At 36.9% G+C, this 24,444-nt stretch overlaps 2 long non-coding RNA genes across 4 annotated transcripts in view; one reads left to right on the top strand and one right to left on the bottom strand.

Moving 5' to 3' along the window:
• LOC101928923 (uncharacterized) overlaps positions 1–24,444 on the top strand; it is a 487,547-nt gene that overhangs the window by 402,681 nt on the left and 60,422 nt on the right. The window lies entirely within an intron of this gene.
• The window catches only part of LOC105378072 (uncharacterized), a 91,283-nt gene continuing 75,806 nt past the window's right edge, over positions 8,968–24,444 (bottom strand). Inside the window, exons 2-4 of one of the 3 annotated variants that reach the window (XR_007059824.1) lie at positions 20,817–22,217; positions 11,285–11,646; positions 10,382–10,483 (exon numbers count right to left, since the gene is read on the bottom strand). This is a non-coding gene — a long non-coding RNA (uncharacterized LOC105378072). Of the gene's footprint in view, positions 11,647–12,181; positions 12,448–20,816; positions 22,218–24,444 lie in introns of those variants that run through there. The other 2 variants (XR_007059825.1, XR_001744424.2) reach the window with 2 other exon arrangements.

Here is a 24,444-nt window from a genome sequence, read left to right as displayed (position 1 = left end):
TATCCCCTCCTTCCTTTCAAACCATCTTAAATTTTTGTTGATTTTCAAAAATCAGTTTCAATTCTTCTTTTGCTTACTTTTAAATTTAAAAAAATATAATTATTCTCCTGTTTCCTTATTTTGAAACAACGGGGTGGGGGGGGGGGGTCTCTTGATTCTCTCCTGCATAAGACTAAGGTAAGTAATGCCCAGAGTGTCCAATTTTATACATTCACATTTTAGTCTGAACCTACAGGTAAGTCTTCTGTGCCTGTCTATGAATTAATTCTATAAACTTGAAACTGACATAATTTACAAAGTTATAATATAATTACATAAATATAATTTATTATAGACTCATGTTTGGCCACTTAGAGAAAACAATATCCTAGCTCATTAGTTTTAGTACTTTGAATAAAAGTGTTACAAGTGTCAAGGTTAAATGAATTATCTTTCCTGACATTTACTATTACTAAAACTTATAATGTATCTTAGATTTCAACATATTTTGATCATTATCTTTCATCTACAGCTATTTGTTTTCCTAGTGTTTATAATCATCTCACGTTTATCTCAGTTTACGAAAGAAAGATATGCCTGTTTTTAATTTCTAGGCCTTTATATTGCTGCTATTCTGTGATTCCATTACACTCCTGTTTCACTGTTTCTTTTTTCAGACTTTACTGAGATATAAGTCATATGCCATAAAACTTACCCATTTAAAGTATACAACTGAGTAGTTTTAGTATATTTACAAATATATTGCATCACTACAATCAAATTTAAGATATTTGCATCACCCCTAAAAGCAGCTCTGAACCCATTAGCAGTCACTCCCTACACCCTAGCCCATCTACCCTTAGGCAAGCTCAAACCTATTTTCTGTCTTTCTAGGTTTGCCAATTCTAAATATTTCATCAAATGAAATCATATATTATGTAATATGTTCTCTTGTAACTACCTTCTTTTATTTAGCCCACGTTTTCAATGTTCATCCATGTCGTAGCATGCATCAGTATTTCATTTCTTTTTATTGTTATATAATGTCCCATTGTATGGCTATTCACTTATTTGTATCCATTCATCAGTCAATGGACATTGCTTATTTTCCCACTTATTGGCTATTATGAATAATGCTGTTTTGAATATTCACATACAAGTTTTGTGAACATACCTTTTTATTTATTTCGGGTATATACCTTGTAGCGAAGTTGCTGGGTCAAATAATAACTCTATGCTTAAGATTCTGGGAAACTGCCAAACTCTTTTCCAAAGTGGCTGCACCATTTTACATTCCCATATATGGAAGTGTAATGTGTGGCTCCAATTTCTCCACATCTCTACTCACATTTTTTATTGTCTTTTGTATTTTAAGTGCCTGTCTTCTTAATTTTAGCCATCCTCATAAATGCAAAGTGGTATCTCTTTGTATCTCTTATTTTGATATGTATTTCCCTAATGAATAATGATGTTGATCATCTTTTTCCTGTGTTTCTAGATCATTTGATCATTTGTACATCTTCTTTAAAAAAATGTATATCCTGGTCTTTTCACCGTTTTTAAGTTAGTTGTCTTTTTATTAGTGAGTTGTAAGAGTTTTTCATATATTCTGAATACTAATCTTTCGTCATTAGTTATGTGATTTAAAAACATTTTCCACCATTCTTTGGGACTTTATACTTCCTTGATTGTGTCCTTTGAAGCACTAAAATTTTAATTTTGATGAAGTATAATTTACCTATGTTTTATTTTGTTGCTTGAACTTTTCTTATTATATCTAAGAAGCTATTACTTAACTCAAGGTAAAGAAGATTGTTTCATTTGCTTTCTTCTAAGAGTTTTATAGTTTTAGCTTTTATTGAGATTGAAACATTTTTGAGGTAATTTTTGTGGATGGTGGGGGAAAGAGGTTCAACTTCATTCTTTTGCATGTGAATATCTTGTTGTCCCAGCTTAATTTGTTGAAAAGATTATTCTCCCCTATTGAATTATCTTGGCATTCTTGTTGAAAATCAATTAACCATAAATGTATATGTTTACTTCAGGACTCCCAATTCTGCTTCATCAATTTATATGCCTATCCTTATGTCAGTGGCACAGTGTCTTGCTTATTGTAGCTGTCTAGTAAATTTGAGGTAGGAAACTATGAGTGCTCCAAATTTGTTCTTCTTTTCAAGATTGTTTTGGATATTCTGGCTCCTCTGTGTTTCTATACACATTTTAGAATTAGCTTGTCAATTTCTGCAAAAAAAAAATCAGCTGGTATTTTGATAGAAATTGTGTTAAATCTGTAGAGAAATCTGATATTAAGTCTTCCAATCCATAAATATTGGGGTTCTTTTCTTTTGTTAGATATTCTTCATTTTCTTCCATCAATGTTTTATAGTTTTCGAAACTGCAATATTGTACCTTCTGTTAAATCCATTCTTAAGTATTTTTTTGATGCTATTGTCAATGAAATTGTTTCCTTACTTTCATTTTTGGATTGTTCATTGCCAGTGTAGAAATGGTGAGAATAGATATACTTGTTTTGTTCTTGATCTTATGAGAAAAGTATTCAGTCTTTCACCATTCAGTATGAAACTAGCTGTGGGTTTTTCATAGATGGCCTTTATCAGATTGAGTAAATTTCCTTTGATTCCTAGCTTTGTCTCATTTTGATATCAGGGTAATACAGGCCTCAGAGAGTGATTTGAGAAGTGTTCCCTCCATTTCTATGTTTTGGAATACCTTATGAAGAATTGGCCTTAATTCTTTAAATGTTGGGTAGAAATTACCAATGAAGCCATCTGGGCATCAAGCTTTGTGGGCAGTTTTAAAATTACTGAGTCAATCTCTTTATTGGTTATATGATATTTATCATTCTGGGGGTAAGACTCAAGACTAAGCAACTCCATCTGAAACCAGTTTTTCTGCACCACAAACTTTCCAAGAGCTGTGTCCCTTAGATAGCTCCCTGGCTGTGTTTGTCTCATTGATCTGGAGCCTGATTTCATGCTTGTTTGCACAGCAATACATTTTATTACTAGACAGCCATACTTTAGAACCACACACGCCTATGTCAGCTACTTCTTGTAACTTCTATCCATTTGCCTGTTATTTTAAGTGTTATTGTAAGGAGATCATGACTTGATGGTAGAAGAATCAGCTGAAGGTGCATGATGAGTTTTCCGTTTTGATTGAAGAGTTTTGGTGAATATGGGTAAAACCCCTAAGCTTAAATAGTTATTAAGGCCACAACTAATTATTAATATGTATTCAAAAGACTGAAAATAGTCTATTCTGGAATCTAGTCCAAAATACTCCACCAAAATATAACTCTTTTGGTGGAAATTTCCAGCAGAAAAACAGATGATATCTGGAGATAAATGTTAAGGACATTGGTAGAAGGGGAAGCCTCATGAGTTTTAAGTGTCTGAACATTTAGACAAATGTTGCATTCTAAATCTTTACCTTCAGAGGTATTCAAGCCATGCCAACTTTGTGTAGCAAAATATGCAAGCTGGAATTGAGGATTATGTGACCTGCATTTATTTCTGAATACATGTGTGATAGGCAGAACAGGCAGCACACATGTGTTCATCCACTCTGAACTCATTAACAAAGCAGAAACGTGAGTAAAATATGTCTTTTCCTAGTTTCTGGAATGGAAGAGGGAACAATTAAGCTGTAAGACACTCCAGGGTGGGTATTATGACCTAATAATGACATGCCCTGGTAGTTTGGACTGAGTGCCATTAACTGCCAAGGCACATCATTGCTCGTCTATAATACACACCCTGGAGTGTCTTATCTGGAACATATAAATGTTAATTCCTAAAGAAACTCATTCAGCAAAAGAGGACGCCATTGTTCTAAGAAGAGGAATATGTGAAAATCTCCACTTTGAGTTTAGTTTTTTTGCGGGAGACTGGAACAAACTGATTAAGCATTTACCCAGAAAAAAAGCAGTACAGTTTAACCTGAAAGAACTGGGGCCAGGGAGTCGGGGGTGGGGCTTTGCATTCCAGCCCTGCCAGTTTCCAGTGCTCTTTCCTTGTGCTTGTTGCTCCAACACTCATATTCCCAGCTTTCTCTCTTTTTAAGTAAGGCTGGTGATTCAACCAGTTTGTTTTATAGCATATGTGGCAAATAAAATAAGATTGAAATGATTTCAAAGTTTTTATCATAAATGATGAGCTGTTTAACAAATATAAAATTGGCCATAATAAATAGGAAACAACGTAACAAGAATTTAAAAACACAAAACCAAGTGCCTGAACGTATTGTTTTAAAGAAGAATTCGATGTGTATAAAGATTTTGGATTGCATTCGTTGTTCAGGGTGGCCTTTGCAATTGGCGCTCACTACCTGTGGTTTGGTTAGTTCTAGTCTTTCTATTGTCATCAAACCTTCCTTCTTGGCAATATACAATAAACAGTTCAGGACCACACAGCCATTTCATGAGTAGAAGTATGGTACAAAATTGCTGTTTCCCTTCCATCTAACCTGTCACCTAAGACCAAAGGTAAATATTTTGATAAAAATAATATCTCTATTTCAACTCTGTGACTCAGTTTCTGTTTTGTCTATTTATCTGAATTTTTGTTTTACTTTGAAGGCATTATCTCATTATTTTGATAATGCTGGCACTTTTAAAGGATTTTAATAAACATTTATCCAACATGGGTACAGATTACAGAACAATGTGCCTATACTTTGTAAGCTGTCCCCATTTTCTTGCTGTGTGGGCTGTGCATGTAGCATGAAAAATATGGCAATGCTTGTTTTGGTCTATACAGCCTTAGTGATACCACTGATAGTAACTAAATCAGCAGCATTAACATCTATGAAGGATAGATGATAATATCTAATGCTTATGTGCACATGATATCAGCACAATAAATAAAATATTTTATATATCTGAATCTCTGATAAATATATTCACAGAAACAAAACTCAGTGGGTTGTCCATTGTTTGCAATTGAGGCGTCTGTGAAATATATAAAACAGATGTTATGTTAACAGATGAGAATCTTTCTTGGTAGAAAACATGGTTTTGCCAACTGGGGATAATAAAACAACTTTTTTTTTTGGTTTTTGTTTTCCTGTGGGTCAGTTGACTTCCCCACCCATGAGCAAAGCATGCACCCCTCCTTCTACCCAGCTATTTTGCAAATTCTTAACTATGGAAACAGTATGAGGTGGTCTGAATGGACCAGTGGAAATTTACCACCACCACTAAAAACAAAGCAAAACAAAAAATTCAAAAAAGAAAAAACAAACAAACAAGTAAAATAACCAAACAACTTAGCTCATCGGTATCACTTTCATGAGGTTTTTTTCTTTCATCTACCTACGCCTACTAGGTTCAGAGAGCAAGGGGATAAAAGGAGGGCGAGCTGATACATAAAACCTAAATCAAGTAGGAAAGAGGAATTGTCAAATGAGGAAACAGCTAAGTACTGTAAGGTTAGGTGGGGGAATGCCTCACAAAGAAATGAGACGCAAGATATTTGGGAAGAAGCATATGATTTACAGAAAGAGAAAAGAGGTTGTTTTTGTTTGTTTATTTGTTTGTTGTTTTGGTGGGTTCTTTTTCCTCTGTTGGACAATCAATATAAACTAAGATGTAGAAGGATTTAGTAACTGTATTTGACTAAAGCAGAGGAGTTTTGAGGAACAAAGAATGGCCAGAGAAGAACGGTGGGACAAAATGAAAACTTTTGTTTTTTCTTAAATGTTCTGCATGAAAACGTAGGTGAGACAATGTGACTGAGAAAAACATAAATGTGAAACAGCATGCTGCTTACTCTCTAGGACTTGGCCATGTACTGGAGATGAGCTAAGCATACTACAAAAACCTTTAACATAATACAAGTTAGGTGAATGCTATAGAGGTTGGGAAGAACAGGAATTAACTGGTGGTTTTGAGGCTCCCTGGAGGGCAGAATAGGAGTGATGTCATGGAATGGAGCCACTATAAGGAAGGCTTCAAAAAAGGGGAAGCTCTATCTCAGGATCAAGTTGCTATCCTGGCAGATCAGCAAAAATGAGGCATGACAATGGACTGATACAATGAAAGAAGCAGCAGGGGACGTTCTGGTCGAGAGGCTGGAAATGTCAGGCAGAAATATCCAAGACACAGTGACAGAGGACCTTCTCAGATCCCTGTAGCATGAGCTCAGGAGACGGCACCCTATAAAGCCGTCAGTGGGCAATTGGCACTAGGGAAGCCTTATAGGGAGGGGGGCATGGAGCAGAATCAGAAGGGCCTTTTAGACTGAAGTGGGGCGATGGTTAACTTTACGTGTCAGCTTGTCTGGGCTAAGGGATGCCCAGATAACTGGCAAAGTATTATTTCTGGATGTGTCTGTGAGGTGTCTCCAGAAAAGATGAGCATTTGACTCAGTAGGCAGAGTAAAGAAGAAGCCCCCTTCACCAATATTGAAAGGCATCAGAATAAAAAGGCCATGGAAGGGTAAATTTTCTCTCCTCTTGAGCTGGAGTATTCATCTTCTGCCCTCAAACATCAGAGCTCTTGGTTCTCGGGCCTTTGGACTCCAGGACTTACACCAATACCCCTTCCTCCTAGGACCCCCTACCCTGGCTCATTTCTCAGCCTTTCCTTCTTGGACTGAGAGCTACACTATCTGTCTCCCTGACTCTTAGGTCTTCAAACTCAGACTGAATTACACCACTGGCTTTCCTGTTTTCCACCTTGAAACAGCATACAGTGGGACTTCTCGGCTTCCGTAATTGTATGAATCAATTCCTATAACAGGTCTTTTCTTACATATCAATGTATATCCTATTTGTTCTGTTTTTCTGGAGAACCCTGACTAATACAGGTGAGTTATAATACTAAAAGTATTTTAAAGTTGGAAACATAAAGCAGAAATTCAATTATTAAGACTATGATAGACCTTGAACAGGCTGGATTTTTAAATCTAATCTTTACTTTGATTTTGCTGTGATGCTCAAAGTTGAGGAGGGTCAGAGATCAGTGAGGTGATGGACAGATGGAATGAGGCTTAAGGATGGGCTGGAAGTATCTGTGAAACACTCTTTCTTGATAATTGAAATGCACCTAAAATTTAACAATTTGTTTTTCTAGGTCAGGTAAATACATCCCTATCAAAATAATCATATTAAAATACCAGGTACCCAGCATGGGACCATAGCAGAAGCACTGTTATTACAGCTGAAATAAAGGTTTATGGCTAAAATAGCAGCAATGCTGACTTAATCCTGAATCTCAGAGTGTTAGCTGGATTAACTTAAATCCCTCCTGCCTAGGTAAAATGTTCCTACACACAGAAGCAAAGCGAAGGCTCCAGGTGGGATCCAACCCAAAAGCTTCAGATCTAAGCCATCAGTAGCTATGGTTTCAGGTAAATAACCCAGCACTCAGACAGAACCTGAGAAAGAAGCATTGAGGAGAGGTCTTGATTCAAGAATAGTTAGAATTAATCTCCCCCAAAAAAATCTATAACAAAAAATACAAAAATAAATAAAAACTTGAATGTACACATTAGCATCTCTATAGAGTACAACTTTTAGGTTTTAAGGCGATACAAGAAAGCACAAAGACTATAGCAACAGTTTCTATTACAATTTTTGTGTCTTCTAAAGCAATGTTCACTAGAATAAATGGAAAATATTTACTTTAACTATGGTTAATACTCATAAGTCTACAAAGAGCTCATCTGGATTGATAAAAATGTGGTAAGTAAATGTATATTTATCAAAAGATAAATATACATTTACTTACAGCACAAATACATATTGAATACTCTCTATGTACTGCAACAGTGCTGAACTGTACTATAGAGTGGAGAGAAGACTGACATGGCCCATGACCTTTTGAAATTTACAAATTCAGCCAGAAAATAATGTGAACAGACAATTTATTAATACATAAGAAGAAAATGCAATACTTAAAATTTAAGCATTACATTTCCTAACACATGTACTAAAAATATGAAAAAATAATATATTAGTGAGGTATAGTTCTGTTTTGAGTCAGCAAGTTTGTAGTAAAAATAGTACACTCATATACATTATTGGTGGCAGTATAAATCGGTATAAACTTTTTGGAAAATAATTTGTCAGTGTACATCAAAAAGCCATAAAAATTTTATATCTTTGGCCTAGTAAAATCCACTCCTGGAAAGTTATCCAAAGGTAATAAACCCCAAACAGAATGTTATACATGGAGCTATTAATTGCAGCATTATTTATAATAGCTAAAATTTGCAGTACTATTTATAATAGCTAAAAATTAGAAACACCCAGAATGGCCATCGATAGAAAAATGTTTACCTGAATTATGGCACAGCTGCTGTATGGAAAATTATGCAACTATTAAAAATGAAAATTATGTAGCTAAATGGAAAGGGCTTATAATGAGAATGCAAAAATATACATAAAATTGACTGCATTTATGAAAATACATATGCATATGTAAAAGTAAAAGTTCTACATAAAAATTGAAATAATTGTGCTGGGAAATAGGATTATGTAGTTTTATCTCTTCTGTTATTCTTTCAGTAAATGAAAATAGACAGAGATTCAATAGGAAATGTGAAAGAGTAGGGCAAATCAGATAAAAGACATACGGGCTCATTCACGTGATGTAAGAACAATTCTAGTTTGGCTCAATCGTACGCTACAAACAGAAAAACAGAATAAAATAATTTATAATGCTAAGTGGGTTTGAATTATTGAGAACCTTCCGACTCTATCTAAGGAATTTTGACACCATTACAGAGACAATTAACCAAAAGTATATGATTCTGTGAAAGCGAATAACAGGATGAGAACTGTGAAACAGAAAGGTTAATTTAAGAAGTGCTGAAGGAAGAATTGAAGAAGAAATAAAATGGAGACTCAGAGACTAGGCAAAAGGGCATTGCAGTAATTTAGATGATTGTGATCAGGAAGTGGCTATGGGAGGTGAACGACTGAGATAAATCTGAGATGAAATATAAAGGAATTGACAAGCTAGGTCATAACTGGACATGGGCTTTTATTAATGGCAAAAACCACAATTGCTTTTGCACCAACCTAATAAAAGTGTGTATAAGGAGAAAGATGGTGGCATTAACAGATACAGAAATTGGGAACAAATACAGATTCACCAGTTTCCAGGACATAGTGTTAGAATATACAGCTCAATCATGTTTCAGCCACTGAACTGTGGCATTTAAAACAGACTAAGCAGAGATGCACTGGGTAAAAAGGGAGTCAGAGTGCAAACAGTGGTGCCGCTTACTTGCCTCCTCATAGGCATCCTTGAATCACATCAGAAACTTTCAAATCATGGTGTGTCTTTCTTCCACAAATGCACAATGGAAATGCCTGTATTTTTGATAACTTTGGCTCAAAGATTCTTTCTATTGCTTCTTTTAATATGACATCTCAGCTTCCATGATTTCCGGCAAGTCTCCTTCCCTTTCTCCCTTAGAATAAACACTGCTTATCTTTCAATGTTTTGATCCATCCATTAGTTCCACATAAGCTAAATGATGTGCTTGTGGGATCTAATCTCAGTATGCCAGAAGCGGGTCTCCCAGACCTACTGAGTCATAATCTTTGAGGAAGAGGTTTGTCATGTGGCCAGACATGTGCCAGAAACGACTAGCCTAGCCCTCTTTCTCATTTTACAGAAAAGAAAATCAAGGCCAAAAGATCACTGGCCAAACTCAGGTTTCCTGGCTCCTAGTCCAGTGCTCTTCCCATTACACCAGTAAACACCCTTAAAATCTCTGCCGCTAGGAATTGAAATAAACAAAGTGTACTTGGGAAGTATTTGCTTTTTTTTTCCTTTAACAATAACAAACACCACCACACAGTTACTCATAAAATGTTAATTGCATTCCTTTCCCAATAACATCCTGATTTTCAGTTTAAACTATTAGCTTGAAGCATTAGACATTTCAATAATAAAAAGTGATTCTCTTTTCCATACACCTTCAATTTTTTATTTCTTATAAATATTCAATTGAATATTTCCATTTGTGGTGTATGTTTGCTAATTTACTGGAAGTTGATTCTGTTCCCCAGAAATGTCACTTGGGTGACCCTGCTGGGCTGAAATGGAAAGTCTAAGCACTGATTTTTGAACTCTTAGTTCTGTGTAGGATTCAACAGCTGTTTGCTTTCTCTAGGGCACTTGAAAATAACTCCAGTTCCAAGAGTATTTAGAAAGATTCCACTTTGAAAATAGAAGCTTTCCTTAAGGTAGGATTCATATTTTTTAAATGTAAAGAATTCAACTCTGATGAGATGATTACCTATAATTCATATTTTACTGGTTACACAGCATGGAGCAGTCTTTCATCAAATAAAGCTATAGCATGTTGACAGATTAAAAACCTAACATAGGCACTGTACTTTCCTAGTTGATTCTACAAGGACTTGACCAATAGAGTATTTGCAAGAAATTTTGTCGAAGACCTACTTGTACTTACTCACCACATCTCTGTGAACTGTCAGATAGGAATTAGAGAGTTCCTTGTTGCTGAGGAAGAAAACAGAGTCTTATTTTTATATGTAAATGACTGAACAATCAATCAGTAGCTATTTTGAGTACAGGGAAGATACTTCACACCCTTCAATAGAGAGGTGGAAGAGTCTGCTAAAAATTTAGGAACTAGGATCTCAGGAGGCCTGCAATGAATAAGAACAGATTTCATCTGCTCTAGCAGATAAACCTACTGGAAAAACAACTTACAGTTCTCTTAAAGTTCACTCAGTGGATAGGCAAAGGTAAATCTGTGAATCATTGGATTGCCTCATAATCTATTTAAGAAATTAATAGAAGATTTGGGGGTGTATTTACACCCCCAAATTGCCTTGGAGCCCAGGATATTTTGGTTAAAGATTAATTCACACCTATTGGTCTTTCTGAGACAGACAGGCTGGCTGATTTCCTGTTTTGAGGTGGTTTCGAGAAAAAGAACAAAAGCCCCTTATTCATGCTGCACCTTACCTAACTTCCAGCTGATTAACAACAAGACCCAAGAAGTTATTAACCACCACGAGTTCCTACTTCAGGGGGCTAGGGCCTACCATGAAGTTCTGCGTGTGCAGTTAGACTTAAACTTTAACTTATAGTTACCCTTGCCTCATTTTAATGCTAAAAATCATGCCCAGCAGTGGAGATTTAAAATGCTCATGTTATTTGTGATGTATGAAGAAGCATGTAAAACCACTGCACAAGCTCTAGACAAACCCCTCCTATTCAGGCTCTGACAAAATCCTTTTCTATAGAAAGTCCCTGTAAAACTAACCCACATACTGCCCTTGGGGAGCAACCCACCTTTTCCTTTTGCAGTGCTGACTTCCTTGCACACAAGCTAAAATAAATTTTTCTCTTTCTTTTTGGCTGCTATGTCTGGTGATCCCTCTTGATTTCTCTCCTTGGAGATTACAAGAACTCAGGGCACCAATAACATCTCTTTTGCCACGGATTCAGCATTTCTGAAATTTCAGGGGCCCTTAGTCCTCTTGATATCATCAGGTGTCCAGGGGTAGCAGGCCTGGCACAGCTCCAGCCATCGCAAAGTCACACCGAGAGGTGAAGTGAGCAGAGTCCAAGAGCAAATGGGATGGTGCACCAGCTAACCAGCCCTCTGTGGGAGTGTCCGGTTTCTATTCATCTTCCATCAGGGCTTCAGCATTCTAGGGAAGATACAAACAAGATCCGAGTCAGCTGAGGAACACAAATGAATGTAGAGCTAGTAAGGTGACCCAGGTTTCAAAATCACACATGGGCTGAAGCTGCCAGTGAGATTCAACTTGGCCTTTTAGGGGAAAGGATGGTGCCACAGATTTGTACTCAGAAAAATTCTGTAGGAGGTTCTGATATGGCAACCCCAAACTTCTCCCCCACCTCCCATACACTCATTTATCTACTTTTAAAAAGATGATTTTTTTCAGGTGAAATTTATTCTTTAAAATCTTTATCTTGATAGGAGAATACATAATCTGTTTTTCCTTGTTGCTTAGAACATTAATATATTAAAACAGGAAAGTCTCTGTTATGACTAAGAAAAGTATATATTTCCTCATAAGTCAGTCCATCAGTACTAACTAGTGATTTATCATAAAGGACTTAAGACCATGGTCCTCAACTGCCACTACACCCTAGAATTACCTGGGGGTCAGAAACTCTTGGGGTGAACCTCAGGCATAGGACATTGTTTTTCAGAAATACCTAGATAGTTCTGTTATGCAGGCAGAGTTGAGATCCTCAATAAATAGGTTTGGTTTTCTGATTTTCTGTATTTTCATTTTGTCTTGAGTGATTTGTCTTTATTGTGGTGTAGCATTTAGAATTCAATTTTTCACTCCAATTTATTAAATTCAGGAAAGTAGAATGTGGAGGGTGGGTGGCTAGGAGGGTGTGTCCTTATTCTGCTCAGATGATTCATTGCTGTTATTTAGTCCCTGCATAATCTGTGGTCACCATCGGACATTTCTGCCTTCACAGCATATCCTATGTCCTGTTTCTTCTCATAGTCACTGCCACCTCATTTTCAAGAATATGATTGTGACATAATAAATAAAGTTCAGCTGAACATGCTCAGATGACCGGCATCTGGGCGAGGGAGAATTTCCACTTCTGTTTCCATCTTTCTCAAACTGTGTGTTTACTACATGCTCCAGTTCTTTTCTTCCCAACAATTGTGTTTTTATTAAGAAAATAAGTTCTGCTTTCTGTGAGAAAAATATTTGCTGGATGAAATCAGTGAAATTCACCTTAAAGAGCAGAATGAATGACTTAGCTGTAACTTAATTCAAATACTGTCTAAGGAGAAGTGTGCCCTGTTTCCGCTGCTCGGCATATCCTGATTGCAGAAACAGATGCATAAGGGTTTTTAGAGTCTATTGTAAGTTTCATCATTGTTAATAATTATTGTTCATTTATCATTCTGTAAACTATGATTCAGTATTTTCCTGAAAGCTGCTCTTGCTGGTTGATACTTTTGTCAGCCTCAGCTCTAGGTGCTAAGAGCACAGCACTTAGCAATAGTGAGGAGGCAACATGAACCAAATTCAAATATAAAATGAAGCTAAATCGAGAGCTTTCTGCAGAGGACCAGATGCTCTCTGCAGGTCAGGGAAGCTTTCTTCACAGAAGAGTCTGCGTGGAGCTGGATTGTTGCAACAAAGTTGAGCCAATGTAGGACAATGGCTGATGTGGACAATGATGTAGGACAATGATGATGGTGATGGTCACTATCTTCATGTCACCGTGACACCATCGCTGCCACTGTTAGTGGTGCCTTTGCAAGGCTGCAGGAGTGCTTACCCTCTCTGCACTGCACCAAACATGTTACTCACTCAACCTAATTATTTCCCCAAAACAAATGTGTCCAAGGAGATATTGTTAGCCATACTTAACCGACGGGGACACTGAGGCTCAGAGGGGAAAATGAGCTCAGAGTCACACCGCTGGTGAGCTGCTGAGGCAAGATTTAAGCCCAGGTGTGCCTGACGCGGGAGCCCGTGCTCTTCATCACTGCCCTGTGCGCTCCAGCGCATTTATCTTGCACACGCTGGGATTTTATTGCAGATTTCTTCGGGGGATAAACGTGATAAATTACAATATTTGAGATCTGCTGAAACATTTGTTACAGTGTTTTAACTGAAGCTCTCAGGAAGCGTTTTCCATCTTGTTTTGGAACAGACTCGCAGATTCTGAGTTAAAAACGGTCGTCTTCCTTCTGAACGCCACTCCATCACGTGCGAGGCAGTCAAGGTTTCCTATAGCCAGATCCGAAAGATGAAGTTCTAATGAATTCTCTTAAGAGAGCGTTGGAAATTTGTCCTTTCGAGCTCTGCATATGTCACAGAATTCAGCATACTTAATTGGAATTAGAAAGCTGGATAGACTACAAAGTAGATGGCATTTACAATGGCTGGGTTATATATCTGCCATTTTATTGAGGCGGAATTCAAAAGCTATCATGGCAGATCATCTTTCTTTTCCGTCTTTCTCATTCTTACAGCTACATTTCTTAGAGACAGTCTTTTAAAAAGCACTGTACATTTTGTTTCATTCTGCCCTGAGCCCTAGTTGCAAGTACCACATGGTGCCTCTCCCTGTGATAATCTGTAGGTCCTCCCCTCGATTTACCTCTCTCTCTGGATTTCTGAACACTAAAGCCCTTCACATTGCAGTTTTTGCTTATTTGTGTTTTGTTTCATTCTACCCTTGTAATTTTTTTTTTTTTTTTTTTGAGACGGAATCTCACTCTCCCCAGGCTGGAGTGCAGTGCTGCAAGCTCTGCCTCCTGGGTTCACGCCATTCTCCTGCCTCAGCCTCAACCTCCCGAGTAGCTGGGACTACAGGCGCTCGCCACCATGCCCGGCTAATTTTTTTTTTTTTTTTTGTATTTTTTTTTTTTTTTTAGCAGACACGGAGTTTCACTGTGTTAGCTGGGATGGTCTCGATTTCCTGACCTCGTGATCCTCCGGCCTCGGCCTCCTAAAGTGCTGGGATTACAGGCGTGAGCCACTGCGCCCGGCCTACCCTTGTAATCTTTATATACCTTGGCATTTCTTTCTTCTTATTCTTTGGACCTCTGGTTTCTGTTGTGTTTTACACCCTTTTGTTGTTTTATCCTCATACATAAAATTACACAAGGCTGGGTGCAATGCCTCACGCCTGTAATCCCAGCACTTTGGGAGACCGAGGCAGGTGGATCATGAGGTCAGGAGATTGACACCATCCTGGCTAACACGGTGAAACCCCGTCTCTACTAAAAATACAAAAAAATTAGCCGGGCATGGTGGCGGGCGCCTGTAGTCCCAGCTACTCAGGAGGCTGAGGCAGGAGAACGTCGTGAACCCGGGAGGCGGAGCTTGCAGTGAGCCGAGATCACGTCACTGCACTCCAGCCTGGGCGACAGCGTGACATTCCATCTCAAAAAAAAAAAAAAAGAAATTCTATCATTCTAGAAACCAAAAGCATGTCAAAATAGATACTTACAAAGATATATAGATGGGGAAAGTATATGAAAAGGCAATTGGATAGATAAATAAAAGATGACGAGATCGTACTATAAAAACAATGTTAGCTGGGTGCGGTGGCTCACGCCTGTAATCCCACCCCTTTGGGAGGCCAAGGCGGGCGGATCACAAGGTCAGGAGATCGAGACCATCCTGGCTAACACAGTGAAACCCCATCTCTACTAAAAATACAAAAAAATTAGCCGGGCGTGGTGGCGGGCGCCTGTAGTCCCAGCTACTCGGGAGGCTGAGGCAGGACAATGGCGTGAATCCGGGGGGCGGAGCTTGCAGTGAGCCGAGATCGCGCCACTGCACTCCAGCCTGGGCGACAGAGAGAGACTCCGTCTCAAAACAAACAAACAAACGAAAAAAACACAAAAAAACAAAAAAGTACACTATCCCCCTGATCACTTGTGGCTCCCTTTTCACTGTGAATTTCATATTCTGAACAGTCAAGGGTTATTTGAAGATGCCTGGGCTCTGAGCCCCAGGAAAGCAGTGACCATGATTTTGCTCAGCATTGAGTGCTGGTGCCTGACTTCAACTCCTATCTCAGAAACAGGGTTTACATATGAAACAATGTCGTTTTCATGGTAACTCATCATCACAAAGTGCTTTAGGAAATTACAAAAGAGGGATTCTAAAATTGTTTTTGAAAAATTGGAGTATTACTGGAAGAAACGTTTAGTCTTTAGCCAAACTACCTTAAAAAGGATGTCATTTGCTTTAGATGTAGAAGTTTTGGCAAAAGTAGTTTTTGAGCAGCAAACTGTTTGAAACAACCTGTTTAAAAACATTTATCAGACTTATGTAATTTGGGTATGAGAAAGGCTTTCTTTTAAATGTTATTTTTAAGTCTAAAATGCAATTGAATATATAGCAAAGTACAGAAAATAATATATCAGGCGTTCACATATTTACCATACAGGATTTAAGAGATATTAGCATATTTCCTTCAAATTGGTATTTTTTAAAAGAAATAAAATGTTCTGTGTAGCTATAGCTCCATCTAATTCTTTTATTTTCAGAGGATGCTAGTATTTTGAAGCTGAAAAGGATATCCTCTTTTATATTTTATACTTTAGTTTTTGTATGTCATATATGGGGGTATTGTACTATTTTGTCCGAAAATTTTATAAAAATAGCATCATACTCTTTTTTACAACTTAATTTTTCATTCAGTTTTCTGAGTATTTAGCCATGTTGATGTATGCAAATATAGTTCATTTATTTTAATTGTGTATGTATTTCATTTCGTGAATAAACCAGTTTATCCACTTAATTTTCAGTTTTTCAATGCTACAAATAATGCTGTAATGAAAATCTTGTATATTTTATGGATTTATTTATTCAATTACTTATTAATGTTCGCATCCAAGTTTTCTAAGATACTTTTCCTTGGTCCCCAAATATGTATATATTTAACTTTACAAGATTCCTCTTGTTTTATTCATATGTTTCCTTTCTCTATTTTTTAAGTTTTTTTCATTTAATTTACTCTAGGAATTATGTTAACATTTTTAATTGGTTAGCTTGGATTAACAAATTTAAATTTAATCATCAGTGTATCTTCCGTCATCTTTCTGAACAGTAAAAAGACTTCAGAAAACTTTCATTCCATATACTTTTCTTCATCTTAAAATGTCATTACTTGAGATTTTAGTTCTATTCTTCTTTTCAACTTTCAAAAGTAATCATCATTATTATTGTTTTAATGTTTAAAAAATATTTATTCACATGCATACCAATTTTCTTAGCTCAATTTTTATGGAATACTACTCCTTTATTCTGCATTTCTTTACTTCTGGAGAACATCAGGCAGTAAAATCTCCCATTGTTTGCCTAAAAAACATTTTAACCCCACACTTGAATAATAGTTTTACTAAATATAAAATCTAGTTTCTATCAAAGCTTTGAATATATGATCCTATTATCTTTAAATTTATGTTGTTTCTGTTGACAAGTTTGCTGTTACTCTATTGTTTATGCCTTTGATGTTAAATTATTTTATATCAGGTTATTTCAAATATTTTGTCTTTTACACTTTCAAGATTTATTTATTTTTTATTCTGCTCAGGATGAATTATGAGTTTTCAGTTGGATGATTCATATTTTCATCAATTCTGGAAAATTTTCAGCATTATATCTTTGAATTTTCTTCTCACACATTTTTATTACTGCCTCCTTATAAACATATGTTTGCCAGATTTTGGACTTTTTATTCTATTCTATCTATCTTTTGTGTCCCTTAACCCATCTTCAATATTTTCTGTATTTTTTCCTTCTGTCCTGGGTTCTGGGTAATTACTTCAGATTTATCTTTCAGTTCTAAAACTATTCCTTCAGCTGTATCTAATCTGTTGTTTAATTTATCTACTGAATTGCCAATTCTTTACATTTTTCTGGTGGGAGTTTAAGTTGATATGATTTCCCTGCCAGGCAATGTTGTAATATATAGTGAAAAACCTCAACAGTTTTCAACTCTTTAAATTATACAAATAATATTTTTAGAAATTATTCTAAAGAACTTATTGTATAATTTACTCATGTGTTATTACAACAGCAGTATTTATTTATTTCAGTGTTCTTTACTGCATAAAATGGAAATGACTATAAGTAAGGGAATGGTGAATAAGTTATTCATTATCCATAAGATAAATACCATTCAGGCAATAATGTTACAAAGAATATGGGAAATATTGAATATATTTTAAATAAGAAAAAGCATGTTATTAAGAAATATGCATAACATAAACAAAATTTTTTGTGTGAAATAAAGACAATGTATTACCAAAGAAAAAAATACTACCACTATAATTCAAGTCAACATGCTAACTCTGTTCATTTCTGTTAGATGGAATTAAGAATGATTTTTATATTGTCTTTTTTTTACATAATTATTCCATTTTTCTACAATGCCTAAGATTTTTTGTTATAGAAAAACAAATCTATTTTTATAATATTCATCTTTTGACAAGGCACAAAGTAAGTTTTAAACAAAGATAAAATCAAAGAAAGATCGAAAATTTAAAAAGCTAATGTAGTAATTAAAACACTACGTGGTGATTTTAGTGGAAGCAAGGTACTCAATTTGAAATAATGAAAATAAGACTTACTGTAAGGCAGACTTAGTAACTGACTGGGTACGTGGAGAAGGACAAACCAAGAGATTCCAAAGTTTTGTGACTGAGAGAACAGTGATACTAGAAACTGAGAACTATGGAATTGTTATTTCTGGACATATAAAACTAAGAACCAGACCCAGAGGATACCTTACCCCTTAAGGGGCTGCCCTCCTATGAAAATCTGCTTCCTTTCTGATACCACCCATTGGTGGTTAAAAAGGAACATCAAACCATTTGTTCGTTAATTCAGCAAAAGTGTATTAAGTAACAACAATGTGATACACACTATTTGAGATTCTAGGAATTATAGCTAGGAACAAACATTCTAGGATTACTAATAAAATGATCATCTGTCCACAAGATGTTTGACTCTTCTATTTCCAATCTCCTTCTTTCAGTTTCTTCAAAGTACTTTCAAAACCAGCTTCTTAGGGGAGCCTTTCCCTATCAATCATCACCAAAAAACCCACATTAGATTCCATTTCTGATGCCAGTTAATTATAATCAATTGGTAGCTGCTGCCTGAAACTGTGCGATGATGGTATCGGGCTCATTGAGAAATGATGCTATATGTGATTACTGATGCCCGGCAAGGCTCTGGAGAGAGAAGTGTCAGGAAATATACTAGCTATGGTGCATGTCGTCTCATTGTCTTCAGCCAACCATATAGCTCCAGACTGCTTTTACTAATGCATTACACTTTTAAAGCGTGACCTAAAAATATTATATTTCCTACTCACAGAGTACCCATATTAACAGTAATAAAGACATAATACAAGCTGACTGAGTAGTACTTCATTTGTACTTTATTTTCTGATGAATTTAAGAACCAAAACCTCTTAAAATCTATTGTGCCTAGTATTTTGCCTTTTCCTCTGTGAGAATAAAAAGGGATAATGGCTAAAAATCTATACATCATAAAACTGTTCTTTCAATCTGTCAGGTTGTTGTGTTTGGTAGTTGATAGTAAAGGCTTTGATACAGGAGTCCTGGGCATGACCCCAGATTATTCTTTCATTTGTCTCCAGCCTCCTGGGCTTGACCTGATTCCAAAAGGAATGGTGTCACTATTAGAGGCTTTCCAGCCTCCTTCCGGGTAGCAGGCTGCTATTGATTGAGGGTGCCTCCAGGCTGAAAGTCTTAGATAAAATGGCTCTTCTGTGCACACACAGAAGTAAGTGCATGAGCATGTGTGTGCATGCAAATGTGTAGGAAAGAGGGGTTCTGAGATTTTTCTAGGGAATTTTCATAGAAAATAAAACTTGTTTTGCTATTGTACTATAGTTACATCAGATGTAACTATCATGAGAAAAAAAAAATGGAACCTCCTTGCGCTGGCTTTGCAACTTCATGTGAATCTATAATTATTTCTAAATAAAAGTTAATTAATAAATAAATAAGTACTTTTAAAATGTGCTCACATTCAAACCTCTTTCATTCATTTAAATCATTTATTTTATGCATGACCAAATAAGAAACCTATATGAATGGAACAAAAGTATGTTCTCTCAACAGAAGAAAACCAGTTTGCAATGACCTACTACAATAAGATCCTCCTAATACAGGCAGAGAAAATGCATTCCCATATTCTAATTCTATGCTAAAAAAATAAAATGCTTCGAGGGAAGGGTCAGATATTTCAACTATTATTATCATTTTTAATTAATTAACTATAAAACCTGAAAACAAATACTACCTCTAATGTAAAAATGATGTGCCCATTCTTTTTTTTCTAAGAAAGAAAAAAGTCCTTGATTTACATGGAAAGTTCTTAATGATACACCATTTTTTTCTTTTTCATAATTTGAAGAACTTAATACAGCCTGCACTAGCTAGAAAATTCTAAGTAAAAAATTACTTAGAAAATATTTTCTTTGTCTCTGCACTTCAACATGTCTCAAAAAATCTCTTAAAAGTTAAGAAAGTGCTAGTTTATTTCAAAATGTATGTATTTTTTAAAATTTCCGTAGGCCTCAGGATTTTTAATTTCTCATTAGGACTAAAAGTCACCGTTCTCAACTTTCTTTTTGAAGGCACAGGAATTAGAAGTTCTCATGGGATACATTGATTTCTTTGCCTCTCTAATTCAGCACGTCTCAGATATGAGGAAGGGAGTCCAGCTTCTCTTGGAAAGTCACTCGGTGAGGATGAACCCCGCGGGCAGTTGAGGGTCATGAAGACCAAAAGTTAATGGAGGCCGCACTAGGGAGCTTGTGGGTTACCTGGACTGATCAGAAGGTCAGCAGTGAGGGCCTGGCCGGAAGCAGTGGCAGCAACAGGAAGCGAGGTTGAGAGGCAGTGAATGTGGGTTGAATCACTAAACCAGGGGCAAGAAGGGCAGAGACAGAAGAAGTGAAAGGATTCAAGAATCCACTTCAAAGACTGGAGGAGACAAGAAGCAGCAGGAGGGGGCTGTGCTCAAAGATCTTGAATATTTAACTGTGTGCCCAGCCTGCCCCTCTCTGTTCTGACCACAGGGCCTTCTCACATTACATAGCACATTAGCTTTTAACTTTGAGAACAACACACATAAAGATTGAGCAACATTAATAATTAATACAAACAAAATTTGACTACATTTATCTCAATAAAATTAATATTTTTTCCAAATATGTTTAGTGGGAAGTGTTATGTATTAAAATTCTGATGAACCTGGTCTTTCCACTACAACTTAATAGGGTAACGAGAATAGCAAGTGTACCAACGCACCCGGTGGTATGCTTTTATCAGCCAGTGTAGAATTCAGCTAACATCTCCCAAAATTAGCCAGGCACGGTGGTGCACACCTGTAATCCCAGCTATTCGTGAGGCTGAGGCGGTAGAATCGCTTGAATCAGGGAGGCAGAGGTTTCAGTGAGCAGAGATCATGCCACTGCACCCCAGCCTGGGCAACAGAATGAGACTCCATCTCAAAAAAAGAAAAAAAATTCTTGAGCAATGCTGAGAATTCACTTTTCTATGATATTTCTAACACTTTCTGCAGTTATTACTCCAGCAGTACTTGAGATAGTCTTCCTGAAAATGTATTTGCTGATTTATGTTTCCAGCCCCAAACAAATCCATGGAAAAGAAGTGTGCCTCGATAAAATGTGGGTGAGTGCTATAGAATGAATGTGTTCACCCCAAATTCATATATGGAAATCCTTACCTCCAATATGATTGTATTAGGAGGTGAGGCCTTTAGTAGATGATTAAGTCATTCATGAGAGTGGAGCCCTCGTGAAAGGGATTAGTGCCCTTATAAAATAGACCACGATCAGGCATCGGTGGCTCATGCCTATAATGCCAGCACTTTGGGAGGCTGAGGCTGGCAGATCACTTGAGGCCAGGAATTTGAGACCAGCCTGAGCAACACGGTGAAACCCCATCTCTACTGAAAACACAAAAATTAGCTGGGCATGGTGGCATGCGCCTGTAGTCCCAGCTACTCAGGTGGCTGAGGTGGGAGGATGGCTTGAACCCAGGAGGCAGAGGTTGTGATAAGCCGAGATCACACCATAGTGCTCCAGCCTGGGTGACCGAGCAAGACCTTGTCTAGAAAAAAATAAATAAATAGACCACAAAGAGCTCCCTCATTATTTCCACCATGTGAGGAGACAGAGAGAAGACAGCCATCTGTGAACCAAGAAGGCTAGTACCTGACATGAAATCTGCTGGCACCTCAATCTTGCATTCCCCAGTCTCCAGAACTGTGAGCAATGCATTTCTGTTGTCTACCTGCCACCTAGTCTATGGTATTCTGCTACAGCTGCTCAAACAGGCTAAGACAGAGAGCAAGGGGAAGGAGGAAACCAAACCAGAGCAAAGAACCTTTGATCTTACTCTTTGGAACTTCCTAACATCAGGATATTCCCATCCCTGGGAGTAAAGGCCTTAGTGCTAACTAAATTGACCCATATTCTACTATGCTAAGAGGACGTTCTACTTACCCAGGATTGGTCTTTTCCAACAGGGTAGGGCAGTGGGATGTATAAAGTCAAAGATTTTTCACAAGTTTGTAACCTGCAGGACCCACAAGAACCACAGATTCTTTAATTCACCTTAGGCTTCTTAGTTTCAAACATACAGGAGTGCACATCGGTTCACGTTTATTAAAGCAGTACTTCTTGTCTACAAGAAAGAAAAAAAAAGAGGCTTAAAAATAGGCATAACTAGGACAAGTTACTCAGTGAAAACTGCTTTTAAATTTAAAAAAAAAAAAAAAAGCCTAAGCAAAATTTCCCTCAGGGATGTGTCTGTCTCTGCTCTTTGTGGCACCTATAACCTTACTGAGAATTGGCTATTACAGTGGCAGTCTTAAACTTACGAACAAATTGAGTCCTAAATATTTCGTTAATAAAATTTTATTAGAGTAATGTTATAATTGATGCTAACTTCCGACATTAATGCATAAATTTTATTATTTCGTAATGTAGTAGAAGGACTGTCAAACTCAACCAGTTTAAACATTTTGTAATGGAGTGGCCCAGCTGAGACAAAAGTTTATAGTTTTCTTTTGTTCTTTTATCCATTCATCCCTTCATACATTCAATATTTATTAGATGAAACTGACACAGTTCCTATTAAAGAGGTGTGTGGAATAAACCAAGAGAAAAGGCATGCCATTGAAAATAGGATGTGAATAAGGAAACTGGCACAGAGAAGTTAAGTAAATTACCCAACGACACACAGCTAGTGAGGTAGTATGGTATAAGGATTCCAACCCAAACAAATAGATTCCAGAGTTCCTTTTCTTAATCATTATGAATCTACGCACTTCGACTTGATATAACTCTGTGCACCATTATATATTTGTATCTCTTTTAATTTGCTTCCACACCACCTAAAACATTTTAGTCTTCTTGTTAAACCAAATCCACATAATCCATCCACTAGTACAGAGCCACTAACTAAAACTGACACATTAATTATTTTCTTACAGATGGTACGATTTTTAAACAGTTGATATAGTGAACAGTGTATGGGTCTCTAATTGAGTAGATAAGTCTAAACAAAGCTGCAGGACCGCACAGGAAACAGTGAAGCATTCAGAAAGAGCAAATTTAGTGACTTTTGTGTGAGAGTGTGGAAGTAGGATAAAATGTCATTGTCTGAGGAATTAAAACAAAACTCTCCCAACGAGGACACAGCTTGATCAAGTGTAAGACATTCTTAGACCCCAACGTCTAGCTTCATGAATACAGAAATGAAACACCCAGAAGAGCTACAGGGACCAAGAGAAACCAGTGTCGGAGCACAGCAAGGAGAACATTGATGGAGAATATCATGCCAAGATTATTAACGAGTATGTCATATGAGCCAGGAACTATACCTTGCTGAACTCAAGATACATTATATCCATTTTTCTCCTTAATCCAGCACCCTGCCATTCTATGATAGAAGGATTCTGTTAAATCAGTCTAGATCTGTTTGTAACAATGCCAGTGACCTGTTCTGTAGATGTCTTCAAACTGATTTCTGAATGATTTATTACAGTGTCTTTTCAGTCTAGAAATTATTAGCCAGTAATTATTTGGGTTCTCTTTCCCTTGCTTTAAGAAAAAAGAAAGAAGCATTATCATATCTCCTTGGCATACGGCATCAAACAAAGAATTCTTAAAAATGGCAGCTATTAGTCTTGTGATGATATCCAACAATCCTTAGAGTTCCTTGATGGCAAGCCATCAGGGACTGTAGATAGGACAGATTGTGCTTATCTAAATAATATGCCATCTGTTCTTATTGAAGCTGACATGGTTTCCTGCCCCCTCCATCTATAAGCTCTCATTTCTGTTCAATAACGTCTTATTCAGAACTATCAAAGCTCTTCATTAAGATCATCGTTAAGATCAACGATACCTATCGTGCTTCAGCAGTCCTTTCTTGAAGAAATTCCATGATTCCAATTGTTCAACATGAAAACATCAAAGAATGAAATCTTGCATTTGGTTATACTCTAGGAAGCGAATAAGGGAAGAGGAGAGCAAGCAACAAATTAAATAGGAAATGCAGCATTAAAGGTGACTTGATCTTTTTCTCAGAAAAGGAGAGGCACACAACGGAGTAATTTTGAAACACAAAAAAAAGTAAGACCCACTGATGAGTAATACAGAATGAGGTCTTCTTTATTCCAATTATCTGAGCAATAATCTAACAACCAGGAACTGTGTCTCCTGTTCATCACTGATGTTGCCACTGAATAGAGTGTCTTATAAAACCGAAAACTAGGTGTGCTATCAGCATTACAAAGAAGGCCATTTTTGTTTTTAACACTAAAACAAACACCACCTGTCTTTAAAGCACCCCCAATTTTACCCTTTCCCTGCATACCCCAGTTATCCTTTCCCTCACCCTTTTC

The sequence above is a fragment of the Homo sapiens genome, chromosome 6 (genome assembly GCF_000001405.40).
Source record: "Homo sapiens chromosome 6, GRCh38.p14 Primary Assembly".
In the NCBI taxonomy this organism is placed as follows: domain Eukaryota; kingdom Metazoa; phylum Chordata; class Mammalia; order Primates; family Hominidae; genus Homo; species Homo sapiens.
The sequence above is the reverse complement of the archived record's forward strand: the minus strand, read 5'-3'. Positions and strand labels throughout refer to the sequence as shown.